Source organism: Homo sapiens, chromosome 4 (assembly GCF_000001405.40).
Source record: "Homo sapiens chromosome 4, GRCh38.p14 Primary Assembly".
NCBI lineage: Eukaryota > Metazoa > Chordata > Mammalia > Primates > Hominidae > Homo > Homo sapiens.
Window position 1 is genome coordinate 152,768,175 of NC_000004.12, and position 17,534 is coordinate 152,785,708.

At 38.9% G+C, this 17,534-nt stretch overlaps 2 protein-coding genes across 8 annotated transcripts in view, besides 3 other annotated features; one reads left to right on the top strand and one right to left on the bottom strand.

Moving 5' to 3' along the window:
* Positions 1–1,179: 1,179 nt before the first annotated feature.
* TIGD4 (tigger transposable element derived 4) lies at positions 1,180–11,556 on the bottom strand. Of its 2 annotated transcripts, XM_005262807.5 has the most exons (3): positions 11,308–11,556; positions 3,522–3,610; positions 1,180–3,368 (listed from the first exon to the last, which is right to left on the bottom strand). In XM_005262807.5, exon 3 carries the CDS (start codon positions 2,828–2,830, stop codon positions 1,292–1,294), a length of 1,539 nt encoding a protein of 512 aa, XP_005262864.1. In that variant the 5' UTR covers positions 2,831–3,368; positions 3,522–3,610; positions 11,308–11,556; the 3' UTR covers positions 1,180–1,291. The 2 variants fall into 2 exon arrangements, with proteins under 2 accessions (XP_005262864.1, NP_663772.1); NM_145720.4 differs by lacking the exon at positions 3,522–3,610.
* Positions 10,998–11,207: an enhancer, noted in NCBI's record as "active region_22045". NCBI's record gives its function as "activates an Ori minimal core promoter by ATAC-STARR-seq in GM12878 lymphoblastoid cells {active_cell/tissue: GM12878}" and the evidence as "EXISTENCE:reporter gene assay evidence [ECO:0000049][PMID:35858748]".
* Positions 11,658–11,817: an enhancer, noted in NCBI's record as "active region_22046". NCBI's record gives its function as "activates an Ori minimal core promoter by ATAC-STARR-seq in GM12878 lymphoblastoid cells {active_cell/tissue: GM12878}" and the evidence as "EXISTENCE:reporter gene assay evidence [ECO:0000049][PMID:35858748]".
* The window catches only part of ARFIP1 (ARF interacting protein 1), a 132,404-nt gene continuing 126,649 nt past the window's right edge, over positions 11,780–17,534 (top strand). For 3 of the 6 annotated variants that reach the window (NM_001287432.2, NM_001025595.3, NM_001025593.3), the window contains exon 1: positions 11,780–12,052. The gene's annotated coding sequence lies outside the window, so the exon portion shown is untranslated. The remainder of the gene's footprint in view (positions 12,053–17,534) is intronic. The other 3 variants (NM_001287433.2, NM_001287431.2, NM_014447.4) reach the window with 1 other exon arrangement.
* Positions 12,008–12,057: an enhancer, noted in NCBI's record as "active region_22047". NCBI's record gives its function as "activates an Ori minimal core promoter by ATAC-STARR-seq in GM12878 lymphoblastoid cells {active_cell/tissue: GM12878}" and the evidence as "EXISTENCE:reporter gene assay evidence [ECO:0000049][PMID:35858748]".

A 17,534-nucleotide genomic window follows, 5' to 3' on the forward strand; every position in this document is an offset into this window, starting at 1 on the left:
TTAATACATTTTAAGGCTTACTATTACCAACTCTCAAAAGCAGAATAAATCAACAGTTGAAAAATAAAAATGCTTCCTAAAGATATTTCCTTCCAAATGTGTCATCTGTTGGCAGACTAATAATTCATAGTAAAAATAATCTGTATGTTTTACATTTTTATAAAATATTTTTCAAAGGGGATACTAAATTGAGTGTAATAAGTTAAATAAGCAAACTAGCTAAAATTTAACAATGGAAAAGTCTCAAATTATTGTTACAATATTCTACTATCTAAAGACTACTTTATAGATGGAAATCAATTAATTCCATACAATATTTTAAAACATTCTATAGATAAAACTTCCTCAAACAGAATTTTAATCCAAAGTGTTACCCATCAAATTTGGGGGAAAAAAGGATTACATACATCAAAATATGCTAAAAGGACATTTAGTTTTACCTGAAAATAAAATTCAGTAAAATCCAAAAAATAATTACATATTATAGATTAAAAACTTGAGCTGTTAAAATTAGAAAAATATCTAGGCATAACTATTACACTATAAATATCACAAGAATTTAATAAATGTTTCAATAATATATTTTTCTATTAAACACAAATATACATACAAATATTTAGGAAGAATCCATAGCTTCTAGTTACAGATGACAAACCTGATAGGGTCACAGCTTTTCATTTGACCTGATATACAAATAACTTGAAAGTAGTAAGACTCATATTTTTAATCATTTTGGTATATAGTTAAGTCAGATTTTATTTTCAGCAGGTTTCCGTAATTTCTTATTAGAAAGGTCAGCTAGTTATTTGAAAAATAATTTAAAATTACTTTATCTTTGATATTTAAGTCTAGTTAGAATACATATGGCATATATATATATATCTTTATAAAAATAAACTATTGCTAGATTTTTTTCTGAGATTAGGTAGATAAATTAAAATATTCTAGAACATAATCTGAACTTAAAAAAACAAAATAGAAATCACCAATTCAATGTGTAAATATAGCAGAAGAGTTCCTTTTATGTTTGACATATTGACCATGTGTCTAGTATAGCCCTTTGAAATACTTTTACTCCCTAAAACCTTGTTAAATAGAAATTTGTACTTTTTTATTCAATCATTATTTACTAGGGAGTTTTGCTATTCAAACCAAAGGTTTTTGCAATTAAACCAAGGATTAGCAGTTTTCCATTTTTTATGTTTAAGTGGTGTGGTACAACTCCTTTACATACCTTATATAATAAAATGTATCAGGAAAAGCTATTACTCTTTAGATGTACAATACATAGTTACTTAGGTGATAAAGAGTTAATAAAATTTTCAAGGTCTGCTAAAGAATTTTGAAGTCCGTCATTCATATCTTGACTTCTGAGAAATTTTTTCAGAGTATCTAAAGCAGTTATTGCCTCAGATTTTGATGGTAAAGGGAGTTCAGTTCCTGGAGATCCATCATCATCCTCTTCATCAGAAGTGTAAAATCCAGTTTCATCCGATTTACTTTCTTTGGTGCATATGGAATCACCATTTGGTGCTGCTTCACATGTCTCCAAATCATCATCCAGGGCAGCATATTCTTCTATAGATAAACCTTCAGGAAATTCTACTCCTGCCCCCAGAGCATCAGCAACCAAATCCAGACCAGTATCCTTCTCTGCATTTGTTATGTCACTTTCTCCCTTTTGAGATTTGAATCCTGCCTCTTCATAGCTTTTAACAATAGTCTCTGGGGTTACAGCCCTCCAGCAAAGATGCAATGTATCAACTGCATCTAGTAGTGAAAATGTAAATTCTTTGCTACCTTCAACAGAGCTTAAAAATTTCTTGATAAGACAGTGTCGATATTTGATTTTAAGGCTTTTAATAACACCTTGTTTCATAGCTATACATTTGGAAGATAAACATGATGGAAAGAATGCTAACTCAATGGATTTTAGGTTCTTTACCTCTGGATGTGCTGGAAAAGACTCAACAAAAATCACCACTCTTCGTTGCTGGGCTTGAAATTCCTCATCAAGCTTTCGCATCCATTGTTCAAATACATCGGAGGTCATCCATGCCATTCTGTTAGCTTCATAACACACAGGCAATGATTTTAAACCTTTGAAACAATGTGGAGTTCTCTTTTTTCCAATGACAAGCAAAGGAAGTTTCTCTGAGCCATCCATGTTTGTGCCAACCACCAGAGTTATTCTGTCTTTGCATAACTTTCCAACTGAACATGTTTCGCCTTTAAATGCAAATGTATTGGTAGGTAACATTCGATAAAGCAGCCCAGTCTCTTTTATATTAAAAACATTTTTAGGATGATAATCATTTAAATAATAAGGAAGTACATTTTGGTACCAGACAGTCGAAGGGTCTACTGGTACACCTGTAGCTTCTACAGGTTGAGCTCTGAATACTAAACCATACCTGGATTTAAAACGATCCAGCCAACCATTACTGCACTTAAAATCATTATGGCCCAGTTTCTGGGCAAAATCATTAGCTTTTAGACGTAACATCGGACCATTAACTGGTACATTTAGACACTGAGCAATTCGATACCATCTCATTAATGCCTCTTCCAGATCTGTGTAAAAAGCAGTTCTCAGTCTTTTTCTCTTTGGATCAAATCTTAGAGATTCAAAGGCTTCTAGAACTTTGTCTTTATTCTTCATAATAGAAGACAATGAATTTTTCTTTATTCCATATTCAGCAGCAATCTCTGCTTTTTTCTTGCCACTTTCCACTGCATTTATGATGTCGATCTTTTCCTCAATGGATAGGCTTTTCTTTTTCTTCACTGTTACAGGCAGAGTTGAGGCATCCACAGAAGCTTCTGCCATCTCAGCCAGTGCTTATGTAGAGATTACTCTTCTTAACTTCCTGGTGACTGTTTCTTTAATTAAATTTGTTTTCCAGTATAATATAGATTGCTGCTTTCTATCCTACTTTATACACTAAAAGTTGGTGTCTAATAGTCTTATTTTGTAGGAACTTGATGACAAAATATGCTTTTTCAAAGATCTGAAGAAAAATATTATATGCAACTAGAATATTTTAGAAGAGAAACTTCCTTCCTAGTACCTTGTATAGCTCAGTTTATAGCTTATTCAGAGTTGTAGAAGTCAAGCTAAAATAGAAATCTCATTATATAAAACCTGTCCAGTCCTGCTGATGTATTTTTGGAACTTCAATCCTTTAAGATGATCCATTTTATCCATGCACACATTCAACCTCCTATTAATTCTCCATAGAAGGCCTCAGAGATAAGAAAAAACGTTCAAAAGTTTTCATGCAACTATTACCCATTAATTTTCAAGTTTGTTCATGGTAAAGAAGAAAATGGTAGAATCCTTCTAGAACTTGCCAGTATATCTTCTTCTGTTGTTTGAAAAATTAAAAAAAAAGCAATTTTAGCGATATGTCAATTGAATATTAAAATAATGCTTATACCCAATTATTATGTTCTTAATAATGAAAATAATAGAAGCATGGTTCTGAAAATACAATAAAGTTTCCAAGAGAAATGCTTACCTCCCAAAGGCCTCTCTGTAAAAGCTCTCTAGTTCTGTTCTACAGATTTGAATTCTCACTTGCCTTTGAATGCTTTATAATATATAGTTCTGAAATAAATCAGATAAATTTAATCTATTTTGAAAATGTGGGCTTACCAAAATTAAAGAACTAAAAATGATGCTGGATAGATGCTTGGTGGCTATTTTTCACATGAGGTCACAGACTGCACCCTCTAACTTCTCCAAAAGAAAACATACTCAGACAGTAGTCACAAGGTTCAACTTTTAATAGCATATGGGAGACAGTGTCTCTTTTATAGGAGTCTGACAGAAAATGCTTCCCTAAAAAATCAAGTGACAATTCTATTTAAAAAAAATCTAAATCCCATTCGACCTAAAAGCTTAAAAACCCAATACCTTTTTATTTTTATGATTTAAAATTTTTCTCTCTTTTTTCTTTTTTAACCCTTATCCTGTTAGTAGGCTAAGAACTCAGTAACTTTTGTATTAATTTGACACATTAGCTGAAGGTACAGAGGCCAGAAATACTGGACAAAAGGCATAGAAACAAACAATTAGGAGAGTATAATGCAGAAAAAGATGTAGACTAAGAACAGGAAGGATAGTGACCACAAGTCTTAACGTCTCAGGTCTTCTACTTTCTATCTGTAAAAAAAAAAAGGTGCCAGGCAGTTCTGAATTGAGAAGTGACTCTGCTATTTAGTACTCATGTGATCCCAGGTAATTTACTTAACCATATGAAGCTTCAGCTTCCTTATCTGTAAAATGGGAGTAACTACAGCACCTATCTCATTATTGTGCATTCAAAAAGATTCAATGAAAGAGTGTAAAGCACGTAGCACAGTATTTAGTACTTTAAGAAAGTGCTCAACAAATAGGTGGTGATGATCTCATCATCATTATCTCTCTCATGTCTTTTGGCTGTGTGAATCTACAATTTGGAAAACTATAAAATCCTACTTGCAAACAGAAGCAAGAATCCCACCTTAAATCTATACTCAAAGTAGGGCTTTTCTTTTTTTTTTTTCTTTTGAGATGGAGTCTCACTCTGTCGCCCAGGCTGGTATACAGTGGCACAATCTCGGCTCACTGCAACCTCTGCCTCCCAGGTTCATGCGATTCTCCTGCCTCAGCCTCCCAAGTAGCTGGGACTACAGGCACACGCCACCACGTCCAGCTAATTTTTGTATTTTTAGTAGAGACGGGATTTCAACATGTTGGCCAGGATGGTCTCAATCTCTTGACCTCATGATCTGCCCGCCTCGGCTGCCTCCAGCCTCCCAAAGTGCTAGGATTACAGGCGTGAGCCACTGTGCCCGGCCTAAAGTAGGGCTTTTCTTAAGCCATGAGAACAGTCACATGGCCCCAGATAGGCTCACCTCTACTTTCCCAAGTCAGCACCTCCCTTATCAGAATCTGTGGGGCAGCCAAGATAATAACAAGCTAATTTGATGAGCAGTGTTACTTCTGTGTGAGTGTGGGCACTCCATTCTTCTTGCTGGGCTTCCTGGTTTCCCAGGTGATGCACAACTTTTTGCACAAAATCTTTTGACAAAACTTTTGCCAAAATTCTTCTGCCCTTGTTGTCCAACTCAAAGGAGGAATTTTTATCATAGGAATTACAACCAGTAAAGGAATTCTTTTTTTAAAAAAGTGTCATTTCGAAAAAAGTCTTAAAAATAATGATAGCCCAGGGTTTTAGTTTTTAAATGGTTTTACTACCTGTATTCCAAATAACTAAGGAGGAAGGTAAAACTGGATTTCATTGGTCCCACAGTTACAATGTGGTTAAGAGCAGTCCAGAATCCAGGCTTCTAAATGTCAAGTCAGCATTCTTTACAACTATATTACAGTATCTTTGAATCACACTGGTGGGACCTCCTGTGACCATAGTTACGGATTCTATGCTCCCAGCACCAACCTAAGCCAGCATTTCCAATGCCTTAAAAAAAAAAAAAAAAAAAAAAAAGCAACATTAGGCCTCCATGGAAGAATAGGCCATTATGAATTCTGTGAACACAAATAGCAACTCTATCTGTCAGCGAGGGCAAACCTAAGTAATAAGATTTGACCATACAACTAACATTAAAAAAATCTTGCTTGTATATGGGATCTCTTCTTATATTTTCCTACAATTTCCTATAAATATGCAATTATTTCAAAATAAAAATAAAATTCTTGCTCTTATTAGGAAGATACCAACCTTCAGAAATTGACATAGCAAAAACTAATTTTTCAAAGACAAAACCAACCAAATTTACTATGAGAATCTCTCAACTTCGTCCTTCCTTCTTTCCTTCCTCTTTTCTTTCCTTCCCTTTTTTCTTTCCTTCCTTCCCTTCCTTCCTCCCTCTCCCAATCCCTCCCTCTCTTCCTCCCTCCCTTCCTTCCTCTCTCCCTCCTGCCTTATCTCATTTATCAGAAATAAAATCTATCATGTCAAACAGCAAGGATTATAGAAAAAGTAACTTGAATTTCTTCTTTTCCCATCCTGGTTAAAGTGACATAATATATACTATCAGAGATTGCTCATTATCTTGAGAAAATTGAAAATGTGATAACTTTATTTAGGAAGATTAGGTTTTTCCCCTGAGTTAACATTAGTCAAAGCTACAATTTTCCATGATAAGATACATCTTTATTCCTAAAAATAATCACATTTCTAATGCCAAACAGACAAATTAGACTTTTTCCCTAGAAAAGAATAAGGCATCAATACTACCTGATCAATGAAGCTGACATTCTCCAAACTCCAACAGTATAACATCTGGGATATTCTTTTGCAAGGAGTAATGGCAGCAGCTAATATTTCTCAGAATAGTCATCCTTTCAAGCTCATTAATCATTCTCCCTCTTGAAAATATTACAGCAGAGAAATGCTATTCTACATGTTAGGGAATATTTTCTCTATGTCAATGGTTAAGCTAATCAGAAAATAAGAATATGCAAATCATCAAAAAAGACTCACCAAATTAATTTCAAATAAAGAAAACAATGGTCAATCCTACTATTAATAAGAAAAACATAATCTTCTTTTAAAAAAAACATTTTTGTTTTTGCCTATCAGAATGTCAGTATCTAGCGTTTGCTGGGGTGAGGTAACAGGTTGTTAGGAGGCACATAAATTGTTACAATACGCTTATGGAGGGCAAATTTGCAATATGATATACAAACCTTAAAACTGTGTATAACGTTTTATCTAGCAAGTCTATATCAAGGATTTTTTTTTTTTTTTTAAGAGGGAGTATCGCTTTGTCACCCAGGCTAGAGTGCAGTGGTGCAATCTCAGCTAACTGCAACATCTGCCTCCTGGGTTCAAGCAATTCTCCTGCCTCAGCCTCCCAAGTAGCTGTGACTACAGGCATGTGCCACCACGTCTGGCTAATTTTTTGTATTTTTAGTAGAGACGGGGATTCACCGTGTTAGTCAGGATGGTCTCCATCTTCTGACTTCGTGATCCGTTCACCTTGGCCTCCCAAAGTGCTGGGATTACAGGTGTGAGCCACCATGCCCGGCCTATATCAAGGATTTTATCCCAAAAGAATAATTATAGATGTAAAAATAATTTCTTACAAATGTATTAGTTTTCTACTGCTAATGCAACAAATTACCACAAACTCAATGCCTTAAAACAACACCCATTTATTATCTCACAGTTCTGTAGATCTTAAGTCCAGGTGGGCTCAACTGGGTCCTCTGTTTAGGGTCTCACAAGGTAGAAATCAAGATGTTGGTCAGAAGCTGGGCTCTTATCTGGAGGCTCTGGGGAAGAATTTGCTTCCAGGCGCAATCAGATTGTTTGCAGAATTCAGTTCCTTGCTGTTGTAGGACTATGGTCCCTAGTTTTTTTGGTTGGCTGTTGGCAGGGACTACTCTCAGCTTCTAGAGGCTTCCCTCAGGTCCTTGTCTGTGGGAAATTGTCATTTCAGCAATGGAGAACATTCCTCCTGTAGAGTCTCTTTCACACTTTGAATCTCTCTGACTTCCTCTACTGCCACAAGCAGGAGAAAACTCTCTGTTCTTAAAGTGCTCACTTGATTAGGTTAGGTCTACCTAGAATATTGCCCTTTTGATTAATTCAGAGTCAATTGATTAGCAACCTTAATTATATCTCCAAAATTCCCTTGCAAGTAACATAACATAATCATGGAAGTAATATCCCATCATGTTCACAGGGAGAGGGAATTATACAAGGTAAGTGTCACTGGAGTTCATCTTAGAATTCCACCTGCTACACGGGACTATTCCCTGCATTGCTATATAATTACAGACAAAATTGAAAATATGCAACAAAAAGGATTCATTCAATAAATTACAAAATATCTACATGCTGAAATACTATTGTGCCACACAAAGAGAATATTTAATGATATGAAAAAATTCCATGATACATTAAGTGAAAAAAGCAAAATATAAAATTATATGTCAACAAATACAACATACACTAAAAATTACATCAGAGCAGAGGCTCATGGTTATTCCTACACAGCTCACTTCCAGCAAACCATAGGGTGTCAGTAGCAATTTGTTAAATAAATGAAGAAATATATATCTACATAGATATAAAGAAAAAAAATACATTGACCAAAATGTTGAATGTTCTCTCTAGGTAAATGAATTATAAATAAGTTCAGTTTTTTCCTCTTTATAGTTAAAAACATTTTTACAACTCTAATGTTCTACCTTTTTTTTCTTCCACAACAGTCATCTTAGAATAATGTTCTACTTTTGCACCAAGTTATTAAAAAAAAAATCAGTATCAGAAAACATAAAGCTGGCATTCTTCCCATTCAGAATCTCTAGGAGTAATGAGTCACTCTCCTTTCATCAGTAGTTTATACCCCTCTGCAGAGAATCAACTACTTTCCAAACTTAAGACAGCACTCACTCATTGTCTTCTACAGATAGATAGCAACTATATCCACTTAATCCTACTTGTACCATTACCCTAAGTAGCAGGAGTTGCTGGTATTCTTGAACTTGCCTGGTATGCAGCAGACAACATATTTCCATAACTCAACTAGAATTGGCCAATTTCCTGGTGTTATAAGAGAATCAAGTAAGTCCAAAGTTCAGTTTCCCAAAAACCATCTTATTTATCATGGGAAAACATGCAAGACAGTAGTATAAAGCAGACTGAAATGGGGGCTCAAATCAAAGGCTGTAAGATCCAAAAACAGGGAAAAATGAATTCTCACAGGGAGGATAAATAATGGGTTCATGACAGAAGTAGCATCTGAACTCAACTGTAAAGGATGGATAGGTACATCACAGGTAAGGAAAAATAGGAAAACATTTCTGCTGATAAGAATAGACAATAAAGCATGGAAGAGGGAAATATGCACTTTGAAGCATATTAAACATTTCTTTGCAACTAAAGTTTCATATCTATGTCTATATTGGTATTTATACCTATCTCTATTAGTTGGCTAAATTAGCACTTTTCCTTCAGGTATATAAGAGAGTGCTCATTTGCAAGATTGAGGCCAGATCTTGGTAAGCCTTTAATGCCAGGATAAAGAATTAGACTTCATTGAGTATGCCACAAATGCCATTCAGGGCTACTAGAGTTCCCCACAAGCCCAATGAATAAATAGCACCTGATTTTTCAAAAGCCAAATAAACAGCCAATAGCAGTGCAAAGTTAAATGAGTAGATAATCTCCATGTCATAAGTATATATGGAAGGCAGCTATTCCCTTTTTTCTTACCTCTCTAAAAATAAATGACAATTCAGAGAAAAGTAGTAATCTTCTATTCTAAACAAAATGAGCAGGCAGGGTCCCCCAAGTTTTAGGGCAAAGGAAGAAAGGAAGAAAAGAAGGGAGGGAGGGAGGAAGGAAGGAAGAAAAAAAGGAAGGAAGGAGGGGAGAAAGGAAAAAAGGAAGGAAGGGAGGGAGGGAGGGAAGGAGGAAAGAAAAAGAGGAAGAAGGAAGGAAGGAGAAGGGAGGGAGACAAGAAGGAAAGGAGGAAAGAAAAAGAGGAAGGAGGGAAAAAAGGAAGAGAGGGAGAGAGGGAAGAGAAAACAAGTCTCCTCTAAGCAGGGCCAGGCTTAAAATGATGTTTTTCAGTTAGTACCAAAAATATTCCCCAATCCAAAGAACGCTGGTTTGCTGCTTCCATTGTCTCAAAGGATGTATAGAATTCCACTATTTTCCATCACCAGCTGAAGTAGTTTCTAGTGTTTTCTTGGAGCCAGACTACATTCTAATTTCCTTCAGGGCAGTGGAAATCATGGAAAGATTAATCCTGTGTATATATAGCCTTGCACAGCGTAATACTGTGGATGAGGATTAATCGTACACAGTACCAGAATTCACTGAAGAGTATCTAACTTGGTTAGCATCTTCACCAAGCAGAAGTTAGCATTAGTTCCAAATCCATCTGAATCTCCATCAAAACCATCAGCAGCTGCCAAGGAAACTATGAACAAACTAAAGCAAGTCTTCACCTTTCCAAAATAAGAAACACTTCAGAGTCTGACAGTCTAATAGTTAGACTAACTTTAGTCAAGCTAAGCATCTCCAAACTCAAGAGACAGCTAGCAGGAATCTTTAAGATAACAGCCAGCAAAAACAATTTAGTATTCATTGTCCACATCATTCAAGCACCGCTGAGTCCTACCGTACACTTCCTCCAAGTCACCCTTCTGAAACCCTAGGAACAACACTTGTACTTAGCTGCAAGTTCTGTAGTTGCTCAGTTCCTACACAATTACAGCAGTAATTAATTTAGATTGGGATTATTTTCTTATAATTGAGAAGACTAATGGTCTCCAAACCAACAAGATGGCTTTGTACAGAAAAATCCACAGTAAGCTATAACAATTGAAGTTACAGTTTGAGTGGGTTGGCATATATATTTGCTCCTTTCTTTTGTTTAAGACAGAACCACTTAAGATAAGAGATTTATGTTTTGGAATTTCAGTACTATTTTTTTAAGAGGTGGTATCCTAGAGAGCTCAATCAATATTGTTATACATTGGAAACATTTATGGTGCCATAGGTGTTTACTATTCACAGATCTGGGGAAGATACCTGCCAGGGATATTTCACTACACTGAAACTCCCTGGAAATCTGTAGAGGTAGAGCTCTGCCTTTGGGCATTAGTCATTAAAAATATCTTGTCAGCTACTGTGACAAGTAAAGGCAGCTGAGAAGTACGGTCTAAAGAAGGGTAAATCTCGCCGTGTGCACAGTTACCCTTCGCATTTCTACAAGTGAAATGGGAGTAAAAATGAGCATTCAAAGCTGTCAAAGGAAAAGCAGTCCAGCAGTTCGAAGGGATATTCTGTGATGGACCAACTGTATGGTACAGTGTGTAAATGAACTTCAGGTCTATCTAGCGCCACGGGGGAGCCACGCTTTCGCACCACTGAGCTCTGGGGATGGGGAGAGTAGTGCAGGTTGGGGCCCCGTTTAGGAAACTACGAAGGGCTCTGAGAGAGCGAATTGTTCAGCAGTTTCCGTGACAGAACAATGATCTATTTAAGAAGTAATGGGGCAAGCAAAGAAAGCAGAGCTCGGTCATCCGGAAAAAGAAAGAGGAGCCGGAAAGAAAAGTATCAAGGAATCTACTGTGAGAGAGCGAGCAAAAAGCAAAAAGCGATCACAAATCCAGAGCAAGTAAGAGCTCAGGGATGCCGGGCCCGGGGGTCTAGCCTTTCTGAAGGGAGAGGGCTCCCCAGGCACGGGGGCAGCGCGAGGCAGCGCCCGCATTCCGTCTGCTGCCTTATCTTCGCATTCTCCCTACCACCCCCACCTTCCCCCCGGGACTGGAATAACCTTCTTCGTGCTCTCCGGTGGCTGAGAAAGCAGCTTTCGCTCTTCTGTGGTAGCGTGGAGGTGAGGTACATCTACCTCCACCCTCCCGGCACCAGCTCACGGTCTGTTGGGGGGGTCCTCCTAACGTGTGAGGCTAGGGTGTGTGAATGAAAAAGAGGGAGGCGGAGGCCTCCTGGAGACCTTCGACCTCTCAAGACCAGGCAGGGGCGCCCTTCCGCAAGCTCCCAGCTCTAGCCGGTGCCTCTGGCCCCGCGCGCATTAGGTCGCTGCCAGAAAATTACCCGGGCAACGACACCGCCGGAGTCCCGGATGTGGTTGCTAGGGCAGCAGAGGGAGGGGCGTAGCCCGCCTCCCGGAGAAGGGCGGAGGGATCCTCGTGGGAGGTGCGCTGACACCACCGAGACGTGGCCGGGCAAGGCCGGATTGAGGGAGAGAGAGGCCGTCCAGGGCCAGGGACAACGCTACTTCCGGTCTCCTCACTTCCGGCTTCGCTGCTCTTGGTTCTGGTTCTGGAGGCTGGGTTGAGAGGTCGCCGGTCCGACTGTCCTCGGCGGTTGGTCAGTGTGAATTTGTGACAGCTGCAGTTGCTCCCCGCCCCCGAGCAGCCGAGGTGCGTGGGGGAAGGGGAAGAAGGAAAAGGTCCGGGTCGCGTTTCCGCTCAGTTTTTGCCAGGGTTGAGGCGATTCCAGAGAGCGGCGGAAAGGATAAGCCTCGACTTAGAAGCTACCGAGTTACCCTAAGAAAGGTGAGGGCGGAGCTGGCTCGCCTGGGAAAAGGCGGGGGAAAGATGGTTTGAGGTGGCTGGTGGGGCGGGCACGTTGCCTACGGGTTCACCGTTCCGAACTTTCACAGGGCACGCCTCTCCTTAGTCTGTGCCGTATCTGCCCAAGTGTTATGCCTTTGGTTTCTTCTGTCCTTCATTCCTTCTGTCCCTCTGAGTGTGCCCCCGAAACAGTCGAGTGAAGGTGTAGGACCGGCCCTTGCAGGGAGGCACTCTCTTGGCTTTGCATACATTGGGTGGGAAAAGGAGTTGCAGGATCCAGAATCCGGACCTTTCTTGACAAAGTGTCGGAGTGGGCCACCTTCAGGCTTGCTGTCCAACCCTCATTTCTCCCCTCTTCTCCCTGCATCCCCAGCTTCCTCTCTCCCGCAGTGGGAGGAAGGGAGATAGTGACAGTCCCTCTGAGAGATTCATCTGGCAGTGGTGCAGAGAGGAGTCTTGCCTGTGAAATGTCCCAAGCCTGACTAAGGAATGCTGGAGTTTTGGAAAGGGAGTTGTTCGATTGTCTTCTGCTCCGTTCCTGTTTGCCAAGTTACTACTGTTTACGTGTCTAGGAAAAGGAAATAATTTTTTAAAAACAGTTTTTAGATGCTAGACGTTTTTCCCTTTTACTTTATTTTGTTATTACTTCCTTTGTTTTGTTCTTACCTTCCTCTTGAGCCCTTTGATTTCAAAAAGTTTACACTTTATACTTCCTGCAGATCCTTTGGCCACTCTTAGGATTTCTGTCCCCCGCCCCTACCCTGTTTTCTCCTAAAGTATAAAATTCATCTAACTACATTATTATTTGATAAGGAAAAGCCGGAAGAGATCCAGAACTTCGCATAAACTTTTGCTTTCATACTTTCACCTGTAAGGGTGTGTTCATGTTTGCCATTTAATTAACTTAATTGGCATAGAAATGTGCACCAGAAATGGTTACCTTAAGTCAGCCGTCTGTTAAGGCTTCAGGAATTGGCCTTTTCTTTTTTCTTTTTTTTTTTTTTTTTTTGAGACAGAGTCTCACTCTGTCGCCCAGGCTGGAGTGCATTGGCACGATCTCGGCTCACCGCAACGTCCACCTCCCAGGCTCAAGCTTTTCTCCTGTCTCAGCCTTCTGAGTAGCTGGGTTTACAGGTAGGCGCCACTACCGCCTAGCTAATTTTTGTATTTTTAGTAGAGACGGGGTTTCACCGTGTTGGCCAGGCTGGTCTCAAACTCCTGACCTCAAATGATCCTCCCTCCTCGGCCTCCCAAAGTGTTGGGATTACAGGCGTGAGCCACCGCGCCCGGCCGAATTGGCCATTTCATTGCTGTTCTCTCAGAGCGGCTACAGATTACTATATTTTACTGCTGCCTTAATTCTGCTTTTCTTTCGTTTGTCCTGTGGTGTTTTTTGTTTTGTTTTCCTTGCTTAGCATGACCCACGTCTTCTCCCAACTACCAAGTCTAACACACTTTTATCTGAGAAAAGAGAAAAGATTTCTAATGTATTTTGTGGATTAAATCCCTGCCTCAGTTACTTTAGTTTCTTTCCAAATTGATAAACTGGTTTTCCTTGGATTATGATTTGCCTTAATCCTGGATGATGACTTGGGGTTCATGGCCTAAGGGTCAACAACTTTCAGGGGTCTTCCTCATTCCCACCCCTGAAATTATATGCAGTTTTGTTTGAGTGAATTTTTTTCCCCCCTGGGGAAAGTGTCCATTGTTTTTATCAAATTCTCAAAGGAGATATACAGCCTCTTGATAGATTAAAACCACCACTTAGGCAGTGTCTTGTTGAAGTTAGTGAAAACAGGTTTTGTGTGTGTATGTGTGTGTGTGTTTTCCACTTAGGCAGTATCTTGTTGAAGTTAGTGAAAACAGGTGTGTATGTGTGTGTGCTTTCCCAAACTGTGCAAAGGAGATATATAGCTTCTTGATAGATTAAAACCACCACTTAGGCAGTGTCTTGTTGAAGTTAGTGAAAACAGGTAGGGGTGTGTGTGTGTGTGTGTGTGTGTGTGTGTGTGTGTTTTCCCAAACTGTAAATTGTTTGCTTTGGGACCAAGGAAAGGAGAATGCAGGGATTCTTCTAGTTTGATATTGAAATCTCTCCTTTAAAACATTAGTGTTTCTAAATTCCTTCCTAGACTTACAGAAGGAAATGAGGCTGCCCACTTTATTTCCTGATTTGTGGTTTTGAGGTTTCTTCTTAGGGATAGCTGTTTGTGGTCCATGCTCTGGAGATCCAGTGGATTTACAAACTGATGTGCCTATCTTTAATATGTATTAAATATCACCAACCAACTAGGCACAGTTCAGAGTAAAAAATTTAAATTCTAGTTGTATTTTGCTTTCATTTTCTTAATTTTTTTTGCTTGAGGCATGTACCTTAGGATTTGATTTGGCTTTGCTATGAAAAACAAACAAGATGTTTCAGTGGTGTGGTCCTTTGGAATGTTGTTGCTTATCTTGACATCCCCTTTCCCTCCATTCTGTATGAGATATTTTAATGATTGTTTCTCTCTTGTGAATACGTTAGTATCCTTCCAAGCTTAATGTAAGTTTTAGAGTACATATTTGAACTTACTGATTTGGTTGTGAATTATTTGTTGATTGAGGGTTGCAGTTCTAAAGGTCTGATACTTTTTTTTTTAGAATGTTAACTTGAAGAGACCTATACAGCTCATCATAGTCTATCATGAGTATCCAGTTTCTTCTGCTCACAGAATAAGTTTTCCTCTGTCTAGCAACCTCACTTGGGGGAGCAGTCAACATAAGTTTATAGAGAATAGCGTATGCTAGGCTGGGCACGGTGCCTCACACCTGTAATCCCAACACTTTGGGAGGCTGTGGCGGGTGGATCACTTGATGTCAGGAGTTCAAAACCTGGCCAACATGGTGAAACCCCATCTCTCCTAAAAATAAAAAAATTAGCCGGGTGTGTGTTGCATGCCTGTAGTCCCAGCTACTTGGGAGGGGCTGAGGCAGGAGAATCGCTTGAACCCAGGAGGCGGAGGCTGCAGTAAGCCAAGATCCCACCACTTCACTCCAGCCTGGCCAACAGAGTGAGACTCCATCTCAAAAACAACATCAACAACAGACTAGCTTATGCTAAATTAGTTTCCTTTTAAGGTAATGACAAATTCGGAAGATATTTTATATCTAACACTGTAACAGTTACATTTATTTGCTTACCATGTGCATTAAGCTAAGTGCTTTACATTATTATCTCAAATGATAACCTTATAAAGTGGCTAAAGTCCTCATTTCTGTAGGTGAAGAAAATAAAGCTGAATGATTAACTGAAGCTAAAGTAGTCTGCTCAGAATTGCGCTGGTGGAGCCAGTGCATGGCTCCACCTACGTTGTCTGACTCTAGACTACTACTGTAGACAACTTCTACCATGCGTCCATTATGTCCTTTTTGAAATGAGTTGGAGATATATCACCTGACTTTCTATCAGGTGTTGAGAAAAGGTTGTTTCCTTTCTTAATCTTCAGTGGATGAACATCTGGTTGAATATCATACTGAGAAGTTTGACAAAAAAGTGAATTTGGTGGAGGCAGTTGGTAGGGGTTTCCTATGGGGATGGATATAAGTCTCTGGTGTGTGTGTGTGTGTGTGTTAGAACACACACACCTACTTGAAATAAAGAATTGTAAGTATTATAAATTCTTGAAATGAAGATTCAAATAATAAGCAGATGGTGTGTGTGTATATGAGGAGGGGAAAATGTGAAAATGAAGATTATAAGTAATAAACTGGGCATTGTAAGAGTCTGGAAGTATAAATAAATTTTAGAATAATACATTTGGGATGGAAAGAATAAATTCAGAATGGAAGAAGGAGTAAATTAAACAGGAAACTTTAATATGGTTATGGATGAAAAACTAAAATATTTGTACAGAATGGAAAGTGAGTTGTTCCACTTAATATGGAAGTTGATGACTTAGGATCATGACAATCTAAAAGTCAGATATGTAGCACTACTTCTGGATGTATGAAAAAGACTATTGGCCTGAAAATAATTTTGTTTTCCTTGATCTTTAGTAGCTTTTGGCAGTCATGGAAGCTGCCGAATGGCTCTTGCAGATTAACAGATATTCTTTATGAGACAAAAGTATTTATTTTCTTTTTCTTTTTCCTTTATTCCTATTCTCCTCTTTCTCCCATCTCTCATTCCATTCTCCTCCATTCCTTCTAAGCCTTTGTCTTAGGATGGGCATAGGCAGGTGTTGCTCAAACCTTTAGTTGTTCCTGAAAAAGGAATATAAAGTCTCTTTATGAAATACACTTTTTTCCCTTAATGAACATACTTATTTAAGTGAATGCTGTTTTTCAGAGTAGGCAATCTGCTTTGAAATCTTCTTCTAGTATGACTGTCGGTTCAGATTGAGACATACAAAAATGAAGTTCTTGCCTGGCTTCGTCACTTCGTGACCTCAGTCACCAGAATCTGAATAACTTTGGGTATTTGGAAAAAATCAGATCCTCTCTTGAAAGACAAAGATTTGGGGATCTGAAGGTAGTTGCAAAACAGGCAATTGCTCAAATCTTTTGTGAAAATATGGCAGTGTCTTTACCATGTTCTCACCTAAGATAAGAATTTATATTTTATTTTTGTATATCTGTGATAGCATTGGACTAGCAGCTCCTTGATGTTGAAGCTTGAGCCTCATTGGTCCCTGGGGAACAGTGACATACTGCCTTTGGAACAGGATCATAAAAGCAGCAGAGTTAGTGGTAAGCCCTAAATCTTCCAGAGGAGGGAGTCAGTTCGCCAACTCCAGTTTCTGCTAGCCTGAGATACTCATCATGGCACACATAAAAAATGATTATAATTGTATGGCAGACTAGAGCCAGGCCCTCCTTGGTTCCTTGGAAGCTGTGGAGTGGGGGAATGGGTCACAATTTCAGCACATCTGTAATCCATTCTTGGCACACTGTTTGGAAATCTTTGCCCTAGAGAAAAGGAATATGTTACTCTGTTTAATACCTTCTGTTTGTTTAGCATGTAATAATTTACAAAGCACTTTCACATACATCCTCATTTTATTTTTACTCCAGCCATACCAAATAGGTAGAGCAGATAACATCACCACATTAGAAATAAAGAAATTGAGATTTAGGTAAAGTGCTTTGTCCAGGGTCACATACCTAAAAAGGGATGGATCAGGAATTTATACCCTCAGTGGAAAGAGCCCCTGGGTTTAAGCCCGTGATCTGTAATCTCTAAAATGGCCAGGACCTTATCTGTTTTGTTTCAGTGCTATATATTGCCCAGGGTGGTCTTGAACTCCTGGGCTCAAGCGATCTTCCCGCCTTGGCCTCCCAAAGTGCTGGGATAACAGGCATGAACCACTGCATCCAGCATAAGTATTATAAATTCTTGAAATAAAGATTCAAGTAATAAGCAGAAAATGGAAAGGATGTTTTTTCTATTCCTCTAATCTCTCCACCCACCACACCTCTCTCCCAG